Source organism: Homo sapiens, chromosome 20 (genome assembly GCF_000001405.40).
Source record: "Homo sapiens chromosome 20, GRCh38.p14 Primary Assembly".
Lineage (NCBI taxonomy): Eukaryota > Metazoa > Chordata > Mammalia > Primates > Hominidae > Homo > Homo sapiens.
In genome coordinates, this window is record NC_000020.11 from 9,562,339 (window position 1) to 9,578,328 (window position 15,990).

The 15,990-nt window shown below is 41.8% G+C and overlaps 1 protein-coding gene and 1 long non-coding RNA gene across 8 annotated transcripts in view, besides 2 other annotated features; one reads left to right on the plus strand and one right to left on the minus strand.

Moving 5' to 3' along the window:
- Positions 1-15,990, minus strand: part of PAK5 (p21 (RAC1) activated kinase 5) — a 301,707-nt gene that overhangs the window by 24,969 nt on the left and 260,748 nt on the right. For all 7 annotated transcript variants that reach the window (NM_177990.4, NM_020341.5, XM_017027960.2 and 4 more), the window contains 2 exons: positions 3,555-4,046; positions 553-686 (listed from right to left, as the gene is read on the minus strand). In NM_177990.4, the coding sequence (NP_817127.1) occupies positions 553-686; positions 3,555-4,046 (626 nt within the window). The remainder of the gene's footprint in view (positions 1-552; positions 687-3,554; positions 4,047-15,990) is intronic.
- The window catches only part of LOC105372523 (uncharacterized), a 44,234-nt gene continuing 28,846 nt past the window's right edge, over positions 603-15,990 (plus strand). Inside the window, exons 1-2 of the long non-coding RNA XR_937250.3 lie at positions 603-763; positions 8,541-8,970. This is a non-coding gene — a long non-coding RNA (uncharacterized LOC105372523). The remainder of the gene's footprint in view (positions 764-8,540; positions 8,971-15,990) is intronic.
- Positions 10,238-10,738: an enhancer, noted in NCBI's record as "OCT4-NANOG-H3K27ac hESC enhancer chr20:9553223-9553723 (GRCh37/hg19 assembly coordinates)". NCBI's record gives its function as "activates a minimal SCP1, AML or CMV promoter by ChIP-STARR-seq in naive H9 embryonic stem cells {active_cell/tissue: H9 hESC(naive)}" and the evidence as "EXISTENCE:reporter gene assay evidence [ECO:0000049][PMID:30033119]".
- Positions 14,305-14,814: an enhancer, noted in NCBI's record as "OCT4-NANOG hESC enhancer chr20:9557290-9557799 (GRCh37/hg19 assembly coordinates)". NCBI's record gives its function as "activates a minimal SCP1, AML or CMV promoter by ChIP-STARR-seq in primed H9 embryonic stem cells {active_cell/tissue: H9 hESC(primed)}" and the evidence as "EXISTENCE:reporter gene assay evidence [ECO:0000049][PMID:30033119]".

Genomic DNA, 15,990 nt, shown 5'->3' on the forward strand with positions numbered 1-15,990 from the left:
ACTTAATGAAATGGCTGGAACTGGCACATCAGGGAGGCAAATAGCTGAAGCAATAGGCTGGTAATTAACCATCGTTACTTGCAAGCATATTTTAAAACAGAATTGCAGAATTTCTCTGTGCCACCCAGATTCATTATTTTGATACAAAACTTCAAGTGATCCTCTCCCTGTCCCTTCCTTCCCCTGGTATCCTTGGTGTCTTAGCATGCAGCAATGGTAGAGTAACTCAGGAGAATGAAATTCAGCTTTAGAAATCTATATAGGCGACAGGACATTCTATTATTTGTCACTGAAGCTTCATTCTTAGCAGGTTGCTTATTTTAAATCAATGGGTATTAATGTCCTTCTGAGGGCAGGGAGAACATTCACCAAATGAATGAACTATACATGCCTGAGAGCATAATGGGCCCTCTGGGGAATGTAGGGGAAAGGGTAGTCATATTCCCTGACTCCAAAGTGCCTGCAATTTATGAAGAGTTCATAGTCACTGCGGCTTTATCCTGGAGAAGAATAAGAAGCACCTCGAATTCTCTGGATAATAAAGAAGCCTACCTGGTGTGAGTCACAATGTCTGTCAAGGCACCACCTTCTAGAAACTCCATGACCACCCAGAGCTCATCGCCGACAAGGTAGCTGCTGTACATGTCAACCACATTGTCATGGTGGTAATCCCGCATGATCACGACCTGGGGAAACGGGAAATATACTTTTGACTTGTGAAGATGAAGTTGCTTTTTGTTCTCTTGTGGCCACAACTACAATTGTAAGTAAACTGATTGAGAGGTACTGATTGTGGGGAAGTTTATTCAGAAAATCTATTACAGACAAAAAGCATCAAGGGTAGCTAGTAGAAATAAAAGGAATCAAGGTAGCAAATTTGAGAGAAAATGGCAGGTCACTCTGACATTGGAGAGACACAGAGAGAAAATGAAAACAAGTAGAACCAAAGCAAGATTTGCATTCACAAGAGGGAGTTTGGTTGACCATCTTTGGGGATATGATCAGATATCTCTAAGGGTCTCCTTTAGAATGCACTGTTCACAGTCCTCTGCTGGTTATCCTAGCAAAGGGTCACCAACTCGTAGTAATTGAGGGAATGAGTCCCACAAGTGAATGAAGTAAACTATCTATTATTAGAACTGGAGCCACACAAGACCAACTTAACTTCTCCTTGGAAGTAGGTATGGGTTGAACTTCAGAGATATTTGGGCTGAATTGAAAGAATATATATTGAAGATAAAAATAAGTATGGCATAGAAATTAAAAAGGCTAAGGAGCCTGCTTGCTGGAGAGAGCTTCCAGAAATTGCTGCCCTGTGGCTGTTTCCACTCGAGTTTTCAGAGCTAGTGTTAAATAATAAACTACAGAATTATTTATCTACATCATATTGCTCTGTGTGTTCTGGCATTGTGGTTTGGAAAATAAATTCCAGAAACCAGGAATGGTGGACTGGAAAGATGCTGAAGCCCAGTCACCTGGAACTCTCTGTGAGATTTGGAGCGTGTGTAAGAAATAAGCACCCGTGGGAGCTGGAGATGTGTGGAGGCCACTGGGGGCTTCATATGAGCCTCCATGATAAACAGAGTTCAAAATTGCAGCTGAGTGCATTTGTACAGTGCCTGTTTATGGACCAAACACCTTCTTACTTCTCAGAGAATGGGAGTCCTTACAATAGAAAGACAAAGAGGTCAAGCAGCCGTAGATTGTTCTGGGAGTTAGAAGATGTGGATTGTACATGCTTTCCTGGAGACTAACATCTAACACTGATACCCTGACTTGATATTTTAGGACTTAGATCTCTCATCCACAAAAACTTATCTTTCCCCTCAATGCTCTCATAAAATTACTAAAAGAATATTACTCCAAAATACTTTATGTGTTTTCTAACATAATTACTCATGTTTCCCCACCTATTTTAGAGCTCTTAAGTGATAAGTTTAAAAGGTAAATGAGAAAGTGGAAGGTAAACATTAAAGTACAACAAATATACAGAGAAGGGTTAATTCCTTAACATATCAATAGCTCCTACACATCAATAAAACAAATGCTAGCACCCTAATTGAAAACTGTGTACAGAACATATGATTTAGTGAAGAAATAAAAATGGCCTATAACCACATAAAATTCAATTTAGCTACACTAGTAATAAAAGTGCTAATGAAAACAGTAAGGTTTATTCATATCTAGCAGATGAACAGAGATAACATGACAGTCTCAATGACGCTAGTGAAGGTGAAACAATACTATTGGTGAGGGTCTAGATTGGTACAAACTTTCTAGAAATTAACACTGTATATCATTTATCTAAAAAAAGTACATATCATTTGATCTGTTCATCCTACTTCTAGGAATCTAATAAATTATCAGATATGAAGCCAAAGACTTATGTGTAACAACACTCACTGCAAAATAATAAAAGTGACAAATTGGAAACAGTATAAATCAGAAACTGGTTTTAAATATGATACATGTATACGATAAAAGATTATTAAGCCATTAAAATTGTGTTTTGACATGTAGCTAATAGAATACGTTAATATATTTTATTTTACATTAATAAAAATAAGTAATGTATGCTGATATATTTTATTTAATATTAATTTTATTAGTATTAATGTTAACATTAGGTGAAATTTAGAAAGTCACAGAACCACATACATCTAAAGTTACCTCAAATTTATTAAATCAGTGACTGGTTTAATAAATTTGATACATGTATATGATAGAAGATTATAAGGCCATTAAAATGGTCATTAAATCTACTTTACATTAATAAATATAAGTAATACAGGTCAATATATTTTATGATATTAATTTTATTAGTATTCATGTTAATATTAATTGAAATTTAGAGAGTTACCAAACTACATATATAATTATCTCAAACAAAAGAAATTTGTAAACAGAAAAATATAGAAAGGAAACACTGAAATATTAATGTAGGCTATTCCTTGACTGGGATATCTGTGGGACATTTTCTTTACTTTCCATGTATTCTACAGGAAGAATTCATTATTTTTATAGTTAGGAAAAATATTTTAAAGTTCCTAAAGGGTGATAGTCCATTGGTAAACTGACCCTGGTCTACTGTTTTAAAAATTGTTTATGGAGGGTATATTATGATATCATAGTAGTGTAAAATATATACATACTCATGTAGATACAGTGTAGCATAAGAGTTAGAATCTGCTAGACAGAGATTCAGATCCTAGCTCTACAGTCAACCTGCTTGACCCTGAGCCGGATCTCTTAACCTGAGTCCAGGTTTCCTTGTAAAAATGGTGATAACATCTTTCTATCTCACAGAGTTGTTGTGAGGATCAAGCTAGATTAATGCTTAGTACAGTGGCTGATACACATGAAGTACTTTATAGATGTAACAGCCATATATGTGCATAGAAAAAAGACTAGAAGGAAATATTACAGGGGACGCTATTTTTGTCTTTATATTTTCAGTGCTTTTCTAATGTCCTAAAATGTACATGTGTATAACTTTTGAAATGGGAAATAAATGTTACAAAGGAGAGAAAGGATGACCCAAACACACTCTTTACCTCATTGAAAAGCAGTTCTCGTCTCTGTTGCTTCCGGAGGTCCATTTTCTTCACTGCAACTTGTTTCCCTGTGTGTTTCTCGGTGGCGATGCATACGATGCCGGTTGAGCCTTCCCCGATTTTGATAAAGTTGGCCAAGTATTCCCTGGGGTCTCCTGGGCTGACCACCAGCTGCAGGGCCGCCCGAAACTGTTCATGGGACACCCTGGAGGGCTGCTGGTCGGAGGAGGAGCCCCAGCTGGGCGGCGGGTAGGTGCTGGATGAGAGGCTGAGGGAGCTCAGGTAGGAAGCCGTGGAGATGTACTGCGAACTGCTCTGCAGGGAGGGGTGATGGTACAAGGTGGCTTTGTGGTACCCAGACGGGTACTGGTGACTGCTTGAGGAATAGCCCGATTTGCTTTGACTTTGAGGTAGTTTGGCAGGGCCCCTGGGGTAGGTGTCAGACCCTGACAGTGGAGGGCTGAGGACCATCTGTGCTCGATCGTAATCCACCTGGGAAGACAGACATGGATAGAGAATATTCACATGCTGGATCTGAATGCCACAGCCGAGTGGTGAGTGAGCTGACTGACAGCTGGCAGAATGAGGATCACCAGTGGGAGATGAGAGGATCTGGCTGGGGCACCAACAGGACCGGCCACACCTAGGGAAGGGCCTTCTGTGGTGCACGTGCACCACAGCAGGAGGTTACTTCACGTGTGTCATATCTAAGGTGTACTTGCTTGTTAAGCCCTATTTTCTTGTTCAGTAATGAAAAACCCCATCCCTCATTAAAGGACATTAGTTTTCAGCTAGCATTTTTGGGAGACATTTCAGGGGTAGGAGGCCTTTTCCCATGCTTCTGAATTCACATACTAGAGGGTGGTATGGACATATATGTATAACACAGGTATAACACAGCAGATGTAGGTACAGGGGAAAATACGTCTCCCTGTGCTAAGTGGTGTGAACCACAGGGTGAACATGTGCAATGTTCTCACCAAATAAGTACAAATATAATTGAGAGTGATCAGACTTTGCAGGGGTATGTGTGAAATGAAAATGATGCTAGACCCGAAAGAGATCCCAGCAAAGAACATCCACTCTGACTTGGAAGAGTGGGATGAGGGGATTTATTGGAGGAGAATGGGGAAGCCAGTGAGGGGATTACTGGTATATGATACAATATGTAGGTCCAGCAGTCACTTCCTGGAAAGAATCAGGAAGGAGCTCTGGCCACTCCTGGAATTGCTGAGGCCAGGATGGTAAAGATACCACATCTTGTCATGTGGTATGCTCCTAGCCCAGGGCAGAAAGTGCTAATCCATCAATGCACTCTGTTTTGGAAGATCTCGATGACAACACAGTGCTGGATACATAGAAGGTACTCAGAAAAGATCTGTTGATTGGACTTGAGGCTCTTTCTTAATGCAGTGCCCCAGAAAGTCTCTATCACTCTACTGGGTGTAAATGGAATGGCATTAACTTATCCCACTCCCCTACCATCCACCCCAAGGACCTAGATCTATTCTAATATAGTAGCTACAAGCTACACGTGCCTATTTAAAATAAACAAAAATAGATTAAAAATTAAAAATTCAGTTTCTCAATCACACTAGTCACATTTTAAGAACTCAGTAGTTACCACATCACACAGTACACATATAAAACATTTTCCTCATTGCAGAAAGGGCTATTGGATGGCACTATTCTAGATGAATTGATTGTTCCCATGCAGCACATTCATTCATTTATTTCAAAAATTAATATTTGAGCAACTATGATGTGCTATGCACTGTTTTAGGTGTGAGGGGGAGGGTCCACCAACAGTCAAAATGAATGATATCTCTGCCCTCCTGGGGTTTATGCTCCAGAGAAGGAAATAGATAATAATAAAGAAAACCAGTAAATATACAGTGTGTGTTTCAGTAGTAATGAATAATATTAAGAAAAATAAAGCAGAGTGAGGGGGTTGAAAGTAATGAGATGCCATCTTGGATAGGGTAGTCACAGAAGGACTCTCTGAGGGGGTTCCGTTGGAGCAGAAGCCTGGCTGAGTGAGGGAAAAAGCAAGATCCCTTTCCTAGGAGGGGTGGTTTGGGCAGTGGGAGTGGCACATGCAGGATTCTGAGGCAGATCCAGGCTTAGTTTGTGAGGAAGAGCAGACGCTCAGCTATAGTGGAGTGTGTCCACTAAGGAAGATGGGCCGAGAAGCTGCCGGGGGACAGATCATGAAGACCTTGGCAAAGACGTTGGCTTTTGCTCCGAGTGAGGTGGGAAGCACTGGGGGTTGCTAAGCAGACAGGAATGACACAGTCTGACTCTCTGGCTGCTGGAGGAGAGACTTTGGTGGCAAGAGTGGAAACAGGGATGCCAGCAGCTTATCACAGTTAATGTGGGCTGAGATTAGGGTGGTTATTGTAGATGGGGTGAGAAATGGTGAAATCTAGGGCAGGATTTGAAGATGGAGCTGACAGGATTTGCTGATGGATTGGGTGAGATCTTGAAAGACAGGAATCAAAGATGGCTATCAGGATTTTGGCCTAAGCAACAGGCCATTTAATGAGATGAGGAATCCAGGGGCAGGAACAGGGCTTGTGGGGTGTGATAATCAGCTTCCAAATTGCTCTCAATGACCTGTGCCTCCTGACATTCATATTCCTATGTAGTCCCCTTCTACACTGTATTGGGATCAATCTGTGTGATCAAAGAAAAAGGCAGAGATGATGGCAAGTTCCTTTGCTTTCTTACATCATTTATTTTGGCTTTCACCAGCTGCCATGTCATGAGGACACTCAAGAATCCTTTGGAAGGGTTGGGTGCAGTGGCTCATGCCTGTAATGCCAGAGCTTTGGGAGGCTAAAGCTGAAGGATCACTTGAGCCCAGGAGCTCAAGGCTGCAGTGAGCTATGATTGCACCACTGCACTCCAGCCTGGATGACAGAGTGAAACCTTGTCTCAGAAATAATAAAAATAATAATAATAATAAAATAGAGAGGTCCATGCAGCAAGAAACTGAGGACTCCTGCTAAGAGCTAGCTAGAAATTGAGGCCTTCTGGCAAACAGCCATGTGAGCCATTCTGGAGGTGGATCCTCCAGGTCCAGTTGATCCTTCAGATGACTGTGTTCCTGTTTGAAACCTTGACTGCAACCTCATGAGAGATTCCAAGACAGAACCAATCAATCAGCTAAGCCCTCTCAATTTGTGACCTACAGAAACTGTGAAATAGTAAATGTTTGTTATTTAAAGTTTAGGGGAAATTAGTTGAACAGCACTATTTTTTGCTTCATGAGGCAGTTTGTTTTAAGCCATGAAGTTTTGGGATAATTTGTTATGCAGCAATATTGATAGCTAATACATGGTGGAAAATTAAGAGTTCTTTTAGCCATGTAAAGTTTGGGAGAGTGATTAGACATCCATGTGGAGGTGTCACTTAGGAGACTTAGGCATGCCCCAAGTCCAGGGAAGAGTTAAAGCTAAAGACATGAATCTGAGAGTCATCGGTGCTTAGTTCATATTAAAAGCCATGATACTGAATGTGTAAGAGATGGTCTGAGGACCCCAACGTCTAGATACCAGAAAGAGCAGAGGGATCTTGCAAAAGGGAGCAGAGAAGGAGTGACAAGTGCTGTAGAAAGGAAACTAAGGAAGCAAGGTGTCCTGGAGCCAAGGGAGGAAAGTATTTCAAGAAGGAAGGGCTAATGAATCCTGTCAAATGCCACTGAGAAGTGGGATGGGGCATGTTGCTCATTGGATCTGGTGACATGGTAGAGGCAAGCAGGTGTTTCAAGCTCCTGCCCCACCACGATGCATAAGAAGGTAGTCATTCTATCACATCATGGAGCAATAACTGCACACAGTGGGCTCTTTAAAATTGCTACCATAGCACCATTCTCAGTCCCCCAACACTGCCCATTGGTTCTACAATGACAGTGCCTGGCCTGCTGAACATTCAGCAATGCAGCCCTTCCAGCTTCAAAAACACTACACTTTACTAGGTGAATTCACCACTCAGACAGCCTTGGCATCAACCAGCAGGAACCAGGGTAGCTGCTAAGCTGCCCTCCTGCCCTGGTTGCAGAGAGAACACATGCTTTTGACGGGCATAGGAATGAATTCTGACTGATAATTTTAGTCAAGTCAACCTCTCTGAGTCTTAGTTTCCTTCTGACTCTGATAATTTTAGTCAAATCAGCCTCTGTGAGTCTGTTTCCTTATCCGTAAAATGGAACAATAATAATACTTACTTCCTTTGGTCACTGAACTCTAAAGGATCAAATACATATCAAAGTATTCAAACAATGACTGGCCAGTAAGTTCTACTTGGTGTTATTATTATATAAAATGCTTAGCACAGTAATGAGAATGCAAAATAAAATAAATAGTAACTGCAATATTATCAAACTAGCTAGCATTTATTGAAGACATACAATGCCCCTGTGGTATATATATTCCTATATATTAATACTCAAAGCAATAAGACAAGATGTAGTTAACATTAATATATTGAACAATGTATAGTTAAAATATTCAAAACCAAGCTGATTCTTTTCAAAGCCTCTGTATTTGTGCTACACAAGGAAAACGTGTGTGTGTGAGTGTGTGTGTATGATGGAATGGGGAGAGAGAAGTGTCAGTGTAAGTTAAACTACGATGGAATGGGGAGAGAGAAGTGTCAGTGTAAGTTAAACAACTGGATTCTTCCTTCAATAAGCTCCAGATTAGTCAAGTCTAGGCTAGTCAGCAAGGCCAGGGTGTGAAGGGAAATAGTGTTTTGGCTTTTATTTCTGAAAGTGTGTCCTGGGAGCCATCACTTGCCATTATCACCCTGTGTCTTCCTTGGAGGACTGGCTCCTGTACTTTCAACGAAATTGAATTCATTCCCCACAAGCATGTATAACTGATCTCTGAAGATATATTAAAAATGGGAAAGCTGCATCCTGCAGGAATCACAAACACCGCTTTGCACTAATTTAGGCCACTTTTCTTCCTTATCACCTGTCAGCAGCATTATCAGAATCCACCCTTAACAGCTGGCATATGACATAAAGAAGAAGCCTGCCTGCACCAAGGGGACAATTTCCAGGCAAAGATGGAATGCAGAGCTCTTTGCTGAAAGCTAACCATCTTCAAAATAGGCCATGAGACAAAAAGGTGCTGTTGTCTTTCACGGCTGCTGGTAAGAGGTACAGACTCTTAAGCAATGGTTGAGGAACAACTAGTATCACAAGAGACAATGTTTTGAATGAAACTCAAGGCATACTCATCAGAGAATGAACTGTTCACTTCAAGTGAGGGGACATGTAGTCTTCCCTCAGAGGACAAATAGCTGACTCTGTGAAGGAGAAATGCATGGGTGACCCCATTTGGGGCCACCAAGGTGCTGAACCATTGCCTTCTGTTGGATCTTAACCCACATGCGGGGTTCCATGATGGTGCGTATCACCAGCCCACACACTTTCAACAGGTCTTGTTCTTTTTATTCTGGGAATCAAGCAGGGGGCAACTGAATCCCATTTTGTGGTTGATAAAATAGAGGCACAAGGAGACGAAACTGCCCCCAAGCAATGCAGGGCAAATAGCTCCATACTTCCAAGGGGACGACATAACCTAGTTCTTCTGCCGGGGTCAGTCCTTCACTCCCAGTGGGAGGGCGCCCAGCACACTGGCCCACAGGCCGGCTCCCTTGCCTGCCTTGGCATTTCCAACATTCATTGATTTATAAGAATAATGATGTTTGATACTTATTGAGTGCTTTCTACATGCCAGGGACTGTTCTAAGCACACTGTGTATATTCTTGCACGTAAACCTCAAGCTGGACAATTAAATAAGCTCTGTAATTCCTCCATTTTATAGATAAGAAGACTGAGGCACAGTGGGTTTAAGTAGGTCATGCAAAGATCCCAAAGCTAAAAGAAGGGAGAAATGGGATTCAAATCCAGACAGAGTCGCTTCAGTACTTGGGTCCTTGAAAAATTCACAGAGATAGGCATGAATGATGGGGGGGGGGGATGTGGTCTTAACAGGGGCGGGCAGAGTGGGCAATGATGATAACCACAGAGATAAAGCCTGGTCAGGGTGTTTCACTGGGGGCCCAGATGTTTGGGCAGCCTGGGGCAAAATGCAAGAATTGGACCAGAACATGATGGATGATAATGTCTAGGAGAGGGGGTGAAAGACAAATTAAGGGTTTTTTTTTTTTTTTTGGCTTGTTTGTTTTGAGCAGTTTTGGCTTAGAGAAATGAGCTAAAAAAAAGAGTAGTCATCACAGCAAAACGAGTTGATTATCTATGTACATCATTCATCATTTTCCTTTTTGTTTTGGTCAAAGCAGAACTCTGCATTGTTACAACATCACTCAGGCTTTCTTCTGTAAGTTCTTTCAAGGAAGAAAGTGCAAACTTTCTTCTGCGATGAGACCTCCTCACATAGCTCTTGGACTTTCATAGTCATGTAAGTGTTCCATTCTAAGTTGTCTTTCTCATGATAGCCTATATTTGGAAGGCAGAAAACATAAATGATGAATTTGTCCATTCCTACTGTTTTACACACACATGTTCATGCATGTGAGAAAGATGTGCAAAGCAGTCCAGCTTAAACTGTGCAATCTTTTCTATGACCTGATTTACAAATACATTCTAGAAAAAAAATGAGTAGGCTTGAAGTTCATAAAAGCAGACCTATCTTTGGTATTGTGAAAGGGATTTGGGATCTGATTATTTAGTGAAAACACAATGCAGTGGAATGGGACTAGTGACAGGAATGATATTTAATAAGCAAATCCAGCATATCTCTCATCACCCATGATCCAAACCATTTCCAAAAGATTTATGTACATAGTTTACCCTTGCAGACCTTACAGCAAGGGCACGGAGTGCAGAGCAAGGGTGGGAAACTGCAATGTAAGAGAAAAAACAACAAAGGCATTCTTCCCATCCCTCCAAAGAGAACAGTGCTGTGATTTTGTGAACGAGTAACTCCTTACAAAGGAGACCATGGTCTGCAAAGTTTTCAGGGGGATTTCCATATGGCATGATGTCATGAGAGAAGACCAGGTCAATTGTCTTGCAAATTATCACCCAGGCTGCTAAACTGCTTAGCTGCAGGGTTACCAGGTCATTAATTGTCATTGAAAATTGGATACATTTTAAGAAGGAATTCTCTCTACAGGAATCTTTAGAAATATTGACAAAATGAACAAGCAGTCATGATTGTGATTTCCTCTTTTTTTTTTTTGAAATGGCTAATAACATACACTTGTTTTTTAGCTTCCTGACACTTTTTTGTATACCATATAAATTAATTCTTTAAAAAATGTGCTTTGTCATGTCTCTATTCAAACATGATCAAAAAAGAAAAAGAGCAAAAAAGAATATATTATATAAGGGAATAAATAATCCCCAGTTAACAACTCAGCCGGACTACCTTTCTACAATGAGCTCAACATCTCTAAAGATAGGGTCAGACACAGGCTTGTGATGTATCAAAATTATAAATAATTATAGCTATGAATTCACTTAATCAATCAATTTCACCAGAGCTACGCTGGGGTGGACGGGGCATAAAACTCCACACAGCTATCAATTGCTCCGATTACAGCTGGTTGTCAGCCAGAATTCCCCTGATCCATGTTAGTTAAATGCACATTAATCTGAATTTGGCAGTGTAATCAAGGACCTAACTGAACTGTGAAATTGAATTCTGCAGTAGAACATAATTTGACCATTTTATGCCAAGTCTTGGGGGGAAGAAAGCTTGGTTAGGGGAGGGTGAGAGAAAGAAGAGAAGGAAAAAACAGTACTGCAGGAGCATCTATTTGGCACTGTGGCCTTCTGTTCTGAGGGCAGGGGGGCCGTGGCTGGAGCGTGCTCGACTGGGGTGTGTGGACACAGCCACAGTGTGGGTCTGTACCCACAGAATGAGGACTCGGAATGTTCCGTGAAGGATGGCGAGTTACAGGGAGTGGGCGGCAGCTGGTTCCAGTGCCTGAATGTGATGCTCCAATACACCTTTTCAGAGCACAATAAAACAAAGACTGCTCATCTCGAAAATGAAAACGCCAGGCTGGGTGCTGCTTACTCTCCATAAATCAAATGCAAGATAAAAGTGAATCACAGTACCTCTATTATCTGAGCATGGAAAGGACATCTTAAATTGTCCTCACTTGACTCAAAGGAAAATTTAACAGGACCAGGCTTGGCTTTGGGAAGGGAAAACGACTGCTTGTAAGAATTCTGGAGAGAATCATTAACTTGCATTCTCTGTAGGGACAGGATAGAGACTGGCAATTAGGGGAATGGGACTCATTGAACCCTATAACTCGTCTGTCTCTCTGGTTGTGCCCTGCAAATGCACACTGAGAGTTGGACAAGTGGCTCATGACCCTACAAACTAGCAAAGCCTAGCTATATGAAGCAATGAATAAATCTGAGATGTGCAGGGTCAGGCATACGGGTATTCCAGGCTCTTCCTCCACCTCTGAATTGGCATATCCAATTAACCCCCCACAGTTGCTGCTTCAAACTCAAAGAATGTGTCTTCTATTCAAGAGCAGTGAGACAGAGCAGATTGGTCTGACCTGCGATCCGTCATCGCCTGCAGTGATGTGGAGGGACTCTTCGTCTTTGGGGACTGGTTTGCAGCCTCAGAATATTGTTCAAATATGTCAGGGCCTCTGAGAGAGCTAGGAACGGACAATGCCAGGTTAAATTCATTTTGTTTTTAATTTGGTAATGGGAAAACCCATTCATAATGACCAAAATACAATTTATTTTGAATCACAAGAGCATTCATGGGAAGAAGTGTCCATTCATATGCAAAGGACACCTAAAGTCTCCATCAGAAGGGACAGACGTTAGAGATAGTGCACTCAGTCAGTCCTTGGATGTTTTATGAGCCTTAATGAAGACCCTGTAGGTAAAGAAAACAAATCTAAATATATCCATTGTTATATTAAGTGATCAAGTGCTTCTCTCTTTCCCCCTCAGATTTTTAGTGCAGCCCATCAGTTTTCACTAGCACTGTCATTCCATAACCCATTAAACCCTGAATGGATCTCTGAACCGAGTTCTGCAGGGATCCTCAGTAGAAAAGAAGTTGCTGTTCTGTTGTTGGAGCCATGGTTGAATCTGGGCATGACAAGTACCACAAAGAACAGTGAATCAGTAAATTATTGATGCGGGAAGACTGGGCCCACTGGTTCAAGTGCTTTTTCCTTCCAGGGAAAGCAAAGTGATAGCTAAGCAGTGAAAACACATTGAACTGTTGACCCCAGAAGGAAGTGCCGGGAAATCACACCATCCTTTTCTTCCCATCCTTTTTGTTTTGTTTTGTTTTTTTAGACAGGGTCTCACTCTGTTGCCTAGGCTGGAGTGTAGTAGTGTAATTATAACTCACTGCAACCTTGAACTCCTGGGCTCAAAGGATTGTCTTGGCCTCCCCAGTAGCTAGGGCTACAGTTGTGTGCCACCATGCCCAGTTCAAAGTAGGTACTGAAACACTTTAGAGATGATGAAACTGATGCACAGAGAAGATCATACAGCTACTAAGCGCTTGAATCCAGGGAATCTGATTATAGAACTTGCATTTTTCTGTAATGGGTGAGAAAATCTGGATTATCTTTTAAAAAATCAAACAAGACTACCACTTAAGGTCAAATAAATGCATATGAGCACCTTAGGGATTTCTGCACCTAACACTTCCTTTACAGCCCATAGTTCCAGCTTTTACCCACGGTTTACACTCTGGGTGACATTAAGGAACTTCTCAAGGATTCCATCCTACATGATGGAAGAACAGGAAGAATAAACAGCATTCCATGGGCACAGCAAATCCACCTGTCAGTCACCACCCATTCTTCACCAGCAAGGTGAGGCTACCTCTAGGATTTGTGTCTGGGCCTGGAGACTTCATGTCCACCTTTCTGCCCCTGGATTTTCTTCTACGGAAATGAGAATATTCTGGAACACATAGACTTTGGAGTCAGTGGGACCTAGTTTGGAATCCTGACTCAGTTATTTGCCTTTATAAACTTGGGGAAGTCCATAAAGATTTGGAGTCTCAGCTTCCTCAACTGTAGAGCAGAGGTGATCCTGAATTCTTCTGGAATTGCAAAGATTAAGTTGAGTCATGTTTGCAAAATGCTTAGCACAGTGCTTGGAACACAGTAACCCTCACCTCACTGCCACCATTCATCTACATGCTCCACATGTAGACTGATGTGTAGATTACTCATATTAGTAATTAAGCTGCTGTAATTTATTAACTTACTTAACCCTCATACTATATAATGAGACACGGGCTGTCTTTATCCTTATTTTGTACATAAAGAAGTGGAGGCACAGTTAAGCAACTTGTTCACCCAGTTAATAAGTGGCAATGTCAAGACTCAAACCCAGGCAGTTTATCTCCAAAATCTATATCTTTAACTGCCAAAACGTGCTTGATAAATGATAGCTATTGAACAGTTGTCCTTAACTGGGCCAAGTTTGCCCTCTTCTGCCTGCAGGACATTTGGCAGTGTCTGGGTATATTTTGGTTGTTAGGAGTGAGGGAGGGATGCTATGGACGTCTAGAGGGGAACGGCCATGGATGCTGCTAAACACCCTATGATGCACAGGACAGCCTCCCACAATGAAGAATTACTAGGTCCAAAATGTTCATAGTGTCAAGGTGGTGGACCCTGCTACAGAGTGAAAGGGGATGATGCAACCTAGTTGTGAAATTAATTGCTAATTAACTGCTAATGCAACTTCATTGCTTCAGGTATTAAAAGGAGCTTATAATCAGGCAGGTTGCAGGCTTTGCACCCACAGAAGCTGCCCCTGTGCTACTGGAAATGCATGCAATGTCTGGTAAAAGGCTTAAGCCCAAAGAGTTGGATCCCAGCTCTGCTGTGAGCATACTAAGCCTCTTAAAACCCATTTCCTCATCTGTACAAAGGGGTCAAGAATTCTTGCCTTACAGATCTGTGAGGCTCAACAAAACATGGCATGTATCTGGTACACAGCAAATGCTTAATGAACTGGTGGGATTGTTATGCTGGGGGCTTCTCAGTAGGGAACGGATGTGCTGGGCCAATACAAAGACACAAGTAGGTGGCTGCCTGGTCTCTGGAGAGCACAGGAATCAGCAAAGTCAAATACATGGCGGCAATTTCTCCAGCTAGCTTCCTTCCGTGGAAGGCAGATTTGTCTGCAGGCGAGGGTGGAAAGCATTCTCTCTCCACATCTGGCAGTTTTCATAATTTTGTGGTGGGTATGGTGCTATATGGTTTTTGTTTGGCTTTGCTTCCCACCCTCCCAACCCCAGGGTTTCATCTGCTTAGTTCCAGCAAAATACACTTAAATGTAGGGAGAGGAGGCCAACATCAACAAACTCATAACATTCTTGATTCCTGTCCTGCTAGCAGGGAAATTAAGTAGGTAGATAACATTGAAGGATTTTTTTTTTCTGTGGGTTAACATTAATCTTTTTTTTTCTTTAGGACAAAATGTAAAACTGTGTCAAACACACACACGTGTGTACACACACACATGTGTACACACACATGACCCTCCTCATTTCTGCTTCATCTGGAGACCTACACAAGTTTTGTGCTTCCTTTTATTACTGGAGATGAAAACATGACCCAGCCTCCTTTAGGAGTCTCTGCAAGCAAGGCCGACTCATCTGAGTCGTGACCGCTATTTCTTCCCTCAGCTGGAAATCCAAATGTGATTGGTACACTCTAAGAGTACCGTTCTAAAGACACAGGCACCTCCGTCTTTTCAGAGAAATGTTGTATTTTTAATCAAGTGAACGTTTTAATTACTAACCTGCCTCCCACCTCTTATCCTCCCACAAAACAAAAACCTGCTCATGAATCTCTCACGAGTTTCCTGTGAAACATGGAGCAGCAGCTTGCTTCTTTGTATTTCTGATCGTAAGGGCTGAACACCCTTGGTAGAAGTTCCCATGAGTGATTATGCTGTTTTTGTTGTTGTTGTTGGTGGTGGTGAGCCACAATAGTTTGTGCATTGTTTCTGGGCTGGCAGAGCCAGATTTCAGGGCAGGTCTGCTTTGTCTTATATTTGGAAGTCTGCAGAATAGAGGGAGCCTGTAGGGAATTAAAGTGAATCACCCCTCCCACCCTCGTTCTTCTGTCACTTAGACGAAAGTTCTGGTGGCCACTGGGACTTCTCATGGATTTTCTTGGCAAATGCAGTTGAGTCCCCGAGATAACATACGCCCAAATAATAGGAAAATATTGAGCAGGGAGAAACACCAGACTTGAGTTCTTGTCCTTGTTTTGCAACCAACTAATTATGAAACTGTAAGTGTGTCATGTGGCTCTCTGGGCCTCAGTTTCCCCTTCTAGGAAATGAGTGTGCAGGGATTGCTGGTGGTGACATTAAATCCCAAAAGCCCATGCTATGTGAAAATGTGGACTCAGGGATACCAGTTCATCCTTTTT